This window comes from Homo sapiens, chromosome 5 (genome assembly GCF_000001405.40).
Source record: "Homo sapiens chromosome 5, GRCh38.p14 Primary Assembly".
In the NCBI taxonomy this organism is placed as follows: Eukaryota; Metazoa; Chordata; class Mammalia; order Primates; family Hominidae; genus Homo; species Homo sapiens.
In genome coordinates, this window is record NC_000005.10 from 95,571,331 (window position 1) to 95,583,594 (window position 12,264).

Below are 12,264 nucleotides of genomic sequence, written 5' to 3' on the forward strand. Positions count from 1 at the left end.
CCTTATCTCTTCTTCTCTGCTTTATTCCCATTTGCCAGCATAGTGCCAGTACATTGTAGGTTCATAATTAAATTTTTGATGAATGAAAAAGTTATTTTGAAGTACCTACAGTTTATTATTTGATAAACATTGATATTCTGTGTAACACAGGATCATATCACTTGTTCATTAGTATTTTGTATATATCTACAACTAATAGAGGATATCCTGTTTTTAACTGTTTAAAATTCTTTAAATATTAATATTTAGGAGTTCTTTCTTTGTCATGTGGAATTCTAAAATTAGTAGAGGAAAAAAACACTTAGATGTTGATGTTTGGGATGTCAAAGATGGTTTTCAGTGCAATACTTGCTTAAAGCATGTTTTCATTTACTCACACTCTCATCAGAGCTTAGGAAATTGAAATAAGCCACCAGGAGTATTTTTATGAGCGCTGTATGTACCCACACAGACATTTGGCTGACAAATAGGTCAAGGTTGCTGTTAATAGCATGTCTGAAGGTTATATGAATTATATAGCACATTACTTTTCAGTGTAAACTTAAAAATGGGTCTCAGAACAAAACATGGTCTCTCAAATATCAAATTTCATAAATAGGGGCATTCAGTCTTGTTGATAGATTGACTTTCAAAATCAAAATGCAAGTTATTATAATTCTTTATTACTGAAATTGGCCATTTTTGAACCTGCTTATATTTTCAGCCAGAATTACAGGTTTCTTTATTATTATAATACTTCCATCTGTCTTTTTTAGGCATCAGCGATGCTTCCTTCTTGTACCAGTTTAGGAACACTAATTTAATTAAGTGTCCCTTATTATATATGACACACCACACCATACTAGGATCGCTATGGGCTGCACAGTTGTTTCATCTGGACAGTTGTTAAAGAGATACTGGTAGTATTACTCATAAAAATGCCATTTACTGATGATAAGACCTTGAGCAAGTAATTTATCTGCTTAGAATCCCAGTTTAGTCAGATGAGCTTTCACTAGATGGCTTTAAAAGTTCTTCTACTCTGAAATTCTATAACTCCAATGGAGTACAGTTAAGTGCTTTATAAATTTCTGATACTCATCTGCCCCTTCACATTATATGTATTGTGTTATAACAGGTTTAAGTTCAAATTTGCTGTCTTCTTATCAATTGAAAGAAAACATTTGGGCCGGGCGCGGTGGCTCACGCCTGTAATCCCAGCACTTTGGGAGGCCGAGGCGGGCAGATCACGAGGTCAGGAGATTGATACCATCTTGGCTAACACGGTGAAACCCCGTCTCTACTAAAAATGCAAAAAATTAGCCGGGCGTGGTGGCGGGCCCCTGTAGTCCCAGCTCCTCGGGAGGCTGAGGCAGGAGAATGGCGTGAACCCGGGAGGCGGAGCTTGCAGCGAGCCGAGATTGCACCACTGCAGTCCGGCCTGGGTGAAAGAGCGAGACTCCGTCTCAAAAAAAAAAGGAAACATTTGTATTTGCCTTCAGGTAAAATTTTGTTGCCTATCTATTCCTAAAGTAGTGGTTTTCAACTGAGGGCGGTCACCCTTCACCCCCATACACCACCCCCACCTCTACCCCTTAGCTGCCAAGAAGACATTTGACAATGTCTGGAGACATTTTTGGTTGATAACACCGGGGTTATTTTGCTGGCATCTGGTGGGTAGAGGCCAAGGTTGCTGCTAAACAGTCTATAATGCAGAAAACAGCCCCTTCCCTAACAAAGAATCATCAAGTCCAAAATGTCTTTAGTATAGAGATTGAGAAAACATGTCTAAAACTAGACATTTTATGCTCGTCAGCCTGGTCTTAGGAATGTCACACTTAAAATAATTGCCTACATTTTAAATATTGTTTATTCTTTCATATTCTAAGGGATCAAATCCACTTAACACTATTACATCAATTTTTTTTTAGAATTAACAAAAAATGTATAGAATTGTGTATAGAAAGTGTAAAGAATTAGGAGGTAATTGATTTTATACGGAAAATTTTAAAAACTAAATTTCTAACATCAGTATAATAAAAAATTTAATATTAAGTAGAATTCCTTAAAGTACTAAGACTAGGAGATGACCCTTATTTCAGTTACAAAAGTAAAATCAGGTATTTGTAGTATCCACTAAGCTAATATTTTTGAGCCAGCTACAATGTGCCAGACATTATTTTTAGATGATGCAAATACAATAGCAATCACAGCACAAAATTCTTCAGTGTCATGGAACTTACATTCTAATGCTATCAGAAGAGAAATTAAACAAGCTGCTGTGTTGTTTTTCCTAGCTTCTGTCTTGTTGAAAATCTAAAATCAAATTCCCTATCATTTCATCTTACCATTGTAATTATGTATGTTGTCTGCTCATGTAGGTTAATATTTTTCTAAGCCAAGTCAAAATAAGCAGTATTTTTAATTGTTGTATGTACATAGTAAGTATATAGACTTAGGGAGTACAGTAGATATTTTGATACAGGCATATAATGCGTGATGAAAACATCAAGGTAAGTGGAGTATCCGTCCCCTCGAAGCATTTGTCCTTTGTGTTACAAACAATCCAATTATACTCTTAGTCATTTTATAATGTACAATTAAATTATTGACTATAGTCACCCTGTTTTATTGTCAAATATTAGATCTTATCCTTTCCATTTTTTTTTCTACCCATTAATCATTCCCACTGCCCCCACCCCAACTATTCTGCCCAGCTTTTGGTAAACCATCATTCTGCTTCGATTGTTTAATTTTCAGCTCCCACAAATAAGTGAGAACATGTGAAGTTTGCCTTTCTGTGCCTGGCTTATTTCACTTAACATAATGACCTCCAGTTCCATCCATGTTGTTGCAAATTACTGGATCTCATTCTTTTTTATAGCTGAATAGTACTCCATTGTGTATATGTACCACATTTTCTTTATCCATTTGTCTGTTGATGGACACTTTGGTTGCTTCCAAATCTTGGCTTATTGTGACTAGTACTGTAAGCAACATGGAAGTGCAGATATCTCTTTGATATACAGATTTTCTTTCTTTTGGGTGTATACCTAGAGAGATTGCTGGATCATATGGCAACTCTATTTTTAGTATTTTGAGGAACCTCCAAATGGTTCCTCATGGTGGTTGTACTAATTTACATTCCCACCAACAGTGTCTGAGGGTTCCCTTTGCTCCATATCCTCGCCAGCATTTGTTATTGCCTGACTTTTGGATAAAAGCCATTTTAGCTGAGACGATATCTCATTATAGTTTTGATTTGCATTTCTCTAATGATCAATGTTGCTGAGCATCTTTTCATATATCTATTTGCCATTCGTATGTCTTCTTTTAAGAAATGTCTGTTCAGATCTTTTGCCCATTATTTAATCCGATTATTAGATTTTTTTCCTGTTAAGTTGTTTGAGCTCCTTATATATTCTGGTTGTAAATATCTTGTCAGATGGATAGTTTTCAAATGTTTTCTCCCATCTGTGGGTTGTCTCTTCACTTTTTTTTTATTGTTCCCCTTGTTGGGCAGAAGCTTTTTAACTTGATGTGATCCCATTTGTCTATTTTTATTTTAGTTGTCTGCGTTTGTGGGGTATTACTCAAGAAATATTTGTCCAGTCCAGTGTCCTAGAGAGTTTCCCCAATGCTTTCTTTTAGTAATTTCATAGTTTGAGGTCTCAGATTTAAGTCTTTAATCCATTTTGATTTGATTTTTAATGTGGTAAGAGATAGAGATCTAGTTTCATTTTTCTGCGTATGGATATCCAGTTTTCCCAGCACCATTTATTGAAGAGACTGTTCCTTCCCCAATGTATGTTCTTGGCACCTTTGTCAAAAATGAGTTCACTGTAGGTGTATGGAGTTGTTTCTGGGTTCTCTGTTCTGTTCCATTGGTCTTACGTGTCTGTTTTTATGCCAGTACCATGCTATTTTGGTTACTAAAGCTCTGTAGTATAATTTGAAGGCAGGTAATATGATTCCTCCAATTTTGTTCTTTTTGCTCAGCATAGCTTGGACTACGCTGGGTTGTTTTTGTTGTTTTTTGTTTGTTTGTTTTTTCTTTTTTGTGGTTCCATATAAATTTTAGGATTGTTTATTTCTACGAAGAATGTTATTGGTATTTTGATATGGATTGCATTGAATCTGTAAATTGCTTTCAGTAGTATGGACATTTTAACAATATTGATTCTTCCAATCCATGAACATGGAATATCTTTTCAGTTTTTTATGTCTTCTCAATTGCTTTCATCAATGTTTTATAATGCTCATTGTAGAGATCTTTTACTTCTTTAATTAATTCCTAAGTATTTTTTTGTAGCGGTTACTTTCTTCATTTCTGAAGGATTACTTCATGGGATGGGATTACTTTCTTCATTTCTTTTTCAGATTGTTTGCTGTTGGCATATAGAAATGCTACTGATCTTTGTTTGTTGATTTTATGTCCTGCAACTTTACTGAACTTATCATCTCTAATAGTTTTTTGGTGGAGTCTTTATGTTTTTCCAAATGAAAGTTTACATCATCTGCAAACAAGAATAATTTGACTCCTTCCTTTTCAATTCGGATGCCCTTTATTTCTTTCTCTTATCTTATTAGCTAGGACTTCCAGTACTATGTTCAATAACAGTGGTGACAGTGGGCATTCTTGTTGTGTTCCAGATCTTAGAGGAAGGACTTTCAGTTTTTCCTCATTCAGCATGATACTAGCTGTGGGTCTGTTGTATGTGTCTTTATGTTGAGGTATGTTCCTTCTATACCCAGTATTTTTTGTGGTGGGGGGTGGGTAATCATAAAGGGATGTTGAATTTTATTAAAAGCTTTTTCAGCATCAGTTGAAATGATCATATGGTTTTCGTCCTTCATTCTGTTGATATGATGTCTCACGTAAGTGTATACCTTTTTTTTTTTTTTTTTGAGATGGATTCTTGCTCTGTCACTAGGCTGGAGTGCAGTGGCACGATCTCAGCTCACTGCAACCTCCACCTCCCAGGTTCAAACGATTCTCCTACCTTAGCCTCCTGAGTAGCTGGAACTATAGGTGCATGCCACTACACCCGGCTAATTTTTTGTATTTTAGTAGAGATGGGGTTTCACAATGTTGGCCAGGATGGTCTTGATCTCCTGACCTCGTGATCCGCCCGCCTCGGCCTCCCAAATTGCTGGGATTACAGGTGTGAGCCATTGTGCCCAGCCAAGTCTATACTTTTCATGTCTTCTATTCTGAGACTTAAAAATTGACTGAGATTTGCACTTAGTACTCTCAATATGGTGATCATTTTCATTAAGTTTTTTGGATTGGAACCGGGCGCAGTAGCTCATGCCTGTAACCCCAGCACTTTGGGAGGCCAAGGCGGGTGGATCACTTGGGCTCAGGAGCTCGAGACCAGCCTGGCCAACATGGTGAAACCCTGTCTCTACTAGAAATACAAAAAACTACCCAGACTCTGGGTCTTCTCAGCTATATCACTTCTAATCCCAACTTTGACCTGCCAGACCCTTTTTGGCTCAAGTTCCATCTCCCTTGTGACTCTTTCTCTACCTCACAGCTGCATCTTTAAAACCTCCAGTTACTGGATTATTTTCTTTCTAAATTTAAATTCTGTAAATAGGGATGATAGGCCTAACTTATATTTCATGCAAGACTCCATCATAAGTTAAGTGCTGGCCACGTTAAGTGCTAGTGCTTACGTTAGGTGCCCATACCTGGCCAGTCGACAGGCTAGAAAGGGAGTTAAATCCTACATAATGTGGCCAACTAGGTCACTCCTTCAGCAAGAGCTGTGGATATGGTGATGTGTCTGCTGCAATGACTGCTTAGTAAATTCTATTAACAACAGATAATCTGGCAATAACCCACCCGCTTTATTTTTTCAGATTTGATGGCATTTTGTCTGGGTTACATTTTCTGTATAATATTGAAAAACAAAGGTTTACAAAAATTGTAAATGTTATAGTCAAATTGATATGTTAATTACTTTAAAAGCATTAGAAAAATAATCTCCTTTTGGATATAAAATGGTGAATGTGATCTAAACCATTTTTAGATTCATAGCTAAAGTATTTTATTACAGTTTTTTCCATAAAGTAGTCTTTGGCATTTATTTTTAAAAGTACAATAGTAGGAGAGTTTTATGTCTGAGTGATTATGAGGTGGAAATACCAATTTGTTAGCTTAGCAAGTCTCATTAAGCACCTGCCTGGATCAATGTCTTGCATGTAGCACATATTCATTATTTCTTTAATTGAATCAAAAAGGCTGCCTTTGTTTAAGCTCAGACTACATTAAACATGTATACTCTGTCAAGGGCTATAGTCATCTAGGAATTCAAAGTTGTAAATATTAGTGCTTCCACAATGATGAATTCACAAGCAGACCAGAAAATGGCTAGGTGAGATTTCACAAGATAAAATCCCTGAATACTCACCTCCACACACACACATGCAAACAAAACTTTTCTTTGAAATATATTTACTATCATTATTATCATATAACCAATATAATTTGTGATATAAGTAATATTACTGTTTAATAGAGAAAAATCTGTGATTTTAATCATATTTGCAAAGAAATGCATGAATAAGAAAAGATTAAGGGGCATTAGCTATTATAATTTTACCAAAAAATGAAACAGTTGTAATTAATAAAAGTAATAAATGTAAAAGCATGCATATTTTGAGCGTTTAAATAACGTATATTTTAAAATGATGTTCCAACCTGAATTTGCCAGGGTAGATGTTATTCAGTCAACTAAAACAGACTGTTTTTGGGAGTGATCATATGTAAAGAAGATGGATGACAGCCTTGTAAATCCTTTTAAAAATTGTATGTGTGTTTCTCTCAAATTTGAGAGAAGAATTTTTTTTAAGAGATGAGGTCTCATTTTGTCACCTAGGCTGGAGTAAAGTGGCAGGATCATAGCTCACTGAAGCCTCAAACTCCTGACCATAAGTGATCCTCCCTGGTCAGCCTCCCAAGTAGCTAGGACCACAGGCACATACCGCCATGCCCAGTGAAGAATTTTTTTTTTTTTTTTTGTAGAGACAAGGTCTCACTATGTTGCCCTGACTGGTCTCAAACTCCTGGGCTCAAACAATCCTCCTACCTCAGCCTCCCAAAGCCCTGGGATTACAGATGTGAGCCCCCACACCAAGTCCAGAAAAGAGCATTTAATGGGAATGAATATAGATCCTTTTTTTTCTTACAGAATTTATTAGGTCGATACAGAGATTTGCAAGGGCATTTTTCAGAATTATCATTTTTCCAATTTTTTGATTGTGAGACTTACCAGAAACACATTAGCTGCTATAATCCCATCAATAACAATGAGAAAAAGAGAGAGATCACAGAATTCTAAGTCTGAGATAGTTAATCATCTTCAGTGGACTCTTAGGAAGCTGAAGGTTTATGTTTAGGCTCCTACTTCATGTGGAAAGAAAACTGTGATAGTCTCATCATCAATTTTAAGGTATATTTTTTCAGATATAATTGTTACTATGTAAACTAATCCTGTGCTACTTGTAAACTGATTGTATCCAATATTTTAGCAGTAGAATTTGGCACACTGCCACAGAAAACCCACACAGTAATGGCAAATATACAAATTTATGTAAAAATTAGTTGGTAATGTGTTAAGTAGTTTTGTTTTTCATTTGTATTAGTGAGGAGTTTTTTGTTGTTAAAAATAACTAATTTAACTGCTGATTGTTGGTTAGTATATTTGGCTATCACCTGTTTTCTGGAATTGAACCAAGATAGAATAATTCTCCTATTTATAGGCTACTGTTGAAGCTCCATTTTGATTATCCTCCATTTTGATTGAATTTTGATTAAAATTTGAGGATTTCTGCAGAAAAAAATTCTTAAACTGTGCATCTCAAACCTTAATATACACACAAATGACTTGGGCATCTTCTTAGATGCCCTTTGTGATTCAGTGAGTCTAGGATAGTGTATTAGTCTGTTCTCATGCTGCCATTAAAGACATAACCAAGACTGGGTAATTTAGAAAGAAAAAGAGGTTTAATGGACTCACAGTTCCATGTGGCTTGGGAGGCCTCACAGTCATGGTGGAAGGTGAAAGGCACATCTTACATGGCAGCAGGCAAAAGAGAATGAAAAATCAAGTGAAAGGGGAAAGCTTTTAAAAACCATCGGATCTCAGGAGACTTATTCACTACCACCAGAACAGTATGGGGGAAACCATCCCCATGATTCAATTACAATGAGTCCCATCAGGTCCCTCCCACAACATGTGGGAATTATGGGATCTCCCAGGAGCTGCTGATGTTGCTGGTCCATGGACCACACTTGGAGTAGCAAGGATATAAAGAACTGGACCTCTGGTGGAAGTAGGACAAGATTCACAAATTGTGAATATCTTTATCAGAAATGTGTGATGATTATTTGTATCCCTTTGAGAAGAAAAGCCCCTCTTATATTTCTATAAAGAGTTGAAGTAGACATTGGGCCACTTAAGAGGGGCATGATATAATGAAACACTGAAGCCTCTCTAAGTTTGTAGAGGACAATCTTCTTCAAGATAGGTATGCTCCATATCTGAGCTCCTACCTGAGGATAGATTAGAGTGGTGTCTTCCACTGCACACTGTGTGTAATGAGAGAATGAGAATGAAAAAGGTAATAACGTCTTACTGTTATTACGACAATAGTTTTGACCTCATGGGCTCACTGAGAGTGTTTGAGAATCCTTAGGGATCCCTGTACTACACTTTGAGAGATGCTGGCGTAGAGGAAACTATACATTGTATAGCTGTGCCTATTGCAAGCAGCAGGGTAAATTTATATTGAGAACAGCCATTGAATCATAAAATATCTGAGCCACAGGTAGTTTTGGATCCTCCTCATTGATGCAAGTCCTTTTTAATTGTCCTGATTGAAACCATACTCTTGGTATTCTGGACAAAATACATAGAAATGGAATGGTAAAAAAATTGGTTCAAAATACCCCCAGTGGTTAAGTAATTAGAAAGCTTTTATTTGGAAAAAGTTATAGCAATTACTGGTGGCGGGGAAGAACACTTAGAACGATGAGACAAAGAAGTAGCTCTGAGCATATGAGCGAAAGATATGATTTCCAGGTGCAATAGTTTAGCCTGATTAAGAGACCATCACTCTTGTAAGAAGGGGCTGGATACATTGGTTAGTAGAGAGAATTATAATGTCAAAAGAGTTATCTTATTATTGTAATTGTAATAGATTATGAAGTTGCATATTCATATTCTCATTCCATATTTTGCTCGTTGGACTCACTGACTGGAAGGTAGCTTGGGCCGGAAAGAGGGACTTTCTGGACTAAGAATTGCAGCTCCTGTAGCAGCCTACTGCTTAGGCTGCATCTACTCCTCTTATTGTGTTTCATGATGGCCCAGGAAGGTTGGGCTGGCCCAGGAAGTAGTGAAAGTAGAATGGAGAGTCATTGATTATAATTATTAATCTTTTTTGAATACATTAAACAGTGCTAAATGATTTTAAAGTACTGTAGTATATTCATCTACTGAATACATCACTTTATACTCATGTTCTTCCTCACTAATTTGCAAAGAAATAAATTGTTATTTTACACTTTAGGCACAGTGAACGTGGGTCAACTAATCAAAGAAGTGAAAAAGTTTGAGAAAGGTAAAAATACCTTTTGCCTTTAACCATAATCTTGTCTCTGCTGCCTTAACAGTGCTTGAAATCATTTGTTATAACTCTACTTAAGTACCAGCAATTATGGGAATCATGCTAAAGCCATGCTTATGAAAAGGCAAGAGAGGATACCACTAAGATAATAGAGAATCACGTATTATTTAGTTAGAGGACAATCGCATATTATTTAGTTATAAAGCCAAGTTTGAAATCTGGCCATAATGATTACAGTAGGCCAAAATTAACTTTATTTGAGCCATTTTACACTTAAGGGGACCTTGGTTAAAAGAATCTCAGGAACACAGTTAAAAAAAATAAGGAGAAGGCATAAATTTATTACCAGAAAGGTTAAATGATGTCACACTTAATCACTGTTATAGCAAAAGATGCAGCAAGCTGGGTTCAATATAGCCATCTTTCAAGGCTTGAAAATCTTTCTTTGAGATGGTCTAGACTCGCTCATGGTCTAGACTACATCGTGAAGTCCAGTGGTTAGGTCAGTTAGCACAATCAGGACAATAGTCTAACCTGAGTTAATCCAAGGAGTGGCAACTAATTAGGTTGTATTAAAAGCCTGCTTGTTGTAATAGTTTCTCAGCCATATTTTCTCATGTAATACTCTCTGATTGAAAAGAAAGTACTTTGGTTCCTAAACATAGAATATAAATCTGTGTCCTATTCCTTCTCTCAAAATCTGAGTTCTACCACACATACTGCTGGTGTTATAAACCCGTAAAATTCCACCTCTGCAACAATACTAATAGTCACATATAGTAAGAGTTAGCTATGATTTAAGCAAAATGAGACGCCAGTGTCAGATTGTTTTGATGGTGTGATGAATACAAAACTTCCTATTTTAGGGTTTCCCATCTGTTAGAATTAATTAGAATCTGTTAGATGTAATTCTGCTGAAATTATGGTTTTTTTATTTTTATCAAAATATATTGAATATCTACAAAGAAAAATGAATTTTTATTATAGCTATTTAAATTTATTTACCTGCATTCAGAAGTCAGGGTATAAAATTTTTCTATTTTAGCTTATATATGGGTGGTTAGTCATTTTGTATGAATTGCAATTTCTCTTAAGTGGAGTATTATGTTTTAGTATAAAATATTTTTTATTTGTGAGTTGGTATCTGGATTTTTAAAACACTTTTCTCAATTGATAGATCACTTCAGAGATACCTATTTCAACAGAAACTTAAAAAGCAAGCTTCCTAGAAATGCCCAGGACTGCTTTCTCACCAATTATGTCAGCTACATATACTTAAGAGCTTGATTGAGAAAAATCAAGCAGTCAGATAAAATAAAGATTTAGAGAAAGTGAATTAATTGAGAAAGTGAATTAACTGAATTATTTAATTTATAAATGAGTAATAAAGAAAATATCTCTGGTTTATAATGGATATGAAATTCGTATCACTATTAGCTTAGATAGCTCAGATTATAGTTAAAATTGTTCTTTTAATAAAGAAAAGATAGAGCTGGAAACAATTTAAAACCTGAAACTTCAGCAACACATGAAGTATACATGGTAGGTAGATTTTTGAAACTATAAATGTTTAGTGATAAAAGGAAATTATAGTAGCTTTGGTTAGGAATAATATCTTCTAAGTGAAAAAAAGAAAAATATTAGAAAATCCAGTAAATAAGGAGAAATACTAGAATCTGAAACATTTTGTTTAAATATCTTGCTGTAAGAAAAGTTAACTGTTCTACATAATCTTTCATAGTTTTAAAGAACACATAAGTGAATATTCAATTCTTGGCTTTTTTTCTATTTTATTTTAATTTGTAATGCTCAATAACTTTCTTTTTGAGATCTAATATAGTTATTCTGAACATTTACAAGACTGAGTCTAAAAATTGTTTTCCATGTTGTTTTCTTAGTGTATGCTTAGTATGTTTTTAAAACTTTTTAATATACCTGACAATATATGTGTCTTTTTGCCCCCTCAGTAATCGTGTGGAAGCGTGGACAAGAGATGTTGCTTTCTTACTCAGACAAGAAGGCAGGCCCATGGTTAATCTTATCCGTAACAGGACTAAAGTCAGAGTGATGGAAAGGGATTGGCAGAATACAGACAAAGCAGTAAACTGGTTAAGAAAGGAAGCAATTAATTACACTGAACCATTTGTTATTTACTTGGGATTAAATTTACCACACCCTTACCCTTCACCATCTTCTGGAGAAAATTTTGGATCTTCAACATTTCACACATCTCTTTATTGGCTTGAAAAAGTAAGTAACTACATTGTGTGTGCTCAAAAGTAGATTTATATATGTGGCTTATTGGTATTTGCTCATTGTTTCTTTTATTATCACTTTTAAAGAAAAATTTGAAAATTGTATATTCAAACTTGACCAATAACTAGTATGATAAAAACTAAAGGGACAATTTTACAGAAATAAGTGTTAAAAGTCAGAAGCCTGCTTCTGGATTGAATTCATTTGCTAAGGATATGTCTATAAACAGAGAAACTAAAAGGCATTCTCTTAGAAATGTAGGCAGCTCTCACTTTGCACCATTCCAGATTGTAAAAATGACCATGCAAGATGAAACCACATAAAACAACCTTAATAAATGGGGAAAATGACCATTTTCTGGCACTTTTAAAAACATTTATCAAAATATTT

At 35.2% G+C, this 12,264-nt stretch overlaps 1 protein-coding gene across 2 annotated transcripts in view; it reads left to right on the forward strand.

Moving 5' to 3' along the window:
* ARSK (arylsulfatase family member K) overlaps window positions 1-12,264 on the forward strand; it is a 50,002-nt gene that overhangs the window by 16,230 nt on the left and 21,508 nt on the right. The window contains exons 2-3 of one of the 2 annotated variants that reach the window (XM_047416820.1): window positions 9,562-9,612; window positions 11,586-11,868. In XM_047416820.1, coding sequence (XP_047272776.1) covers window positions 11,647-11,868 — 222 coding nt within the window. In that variant the 5' untranslated portion in view covers window positions 9,562-9,612; window positions 11,586-11,646. The remainder of the gene's footprint in view (window positions 1-9,561; window positions 9,613-11,585; window positions 11,869-12,264) is intronic. The other variant, NM_198150.3, reaches the window with a different exon arrangement.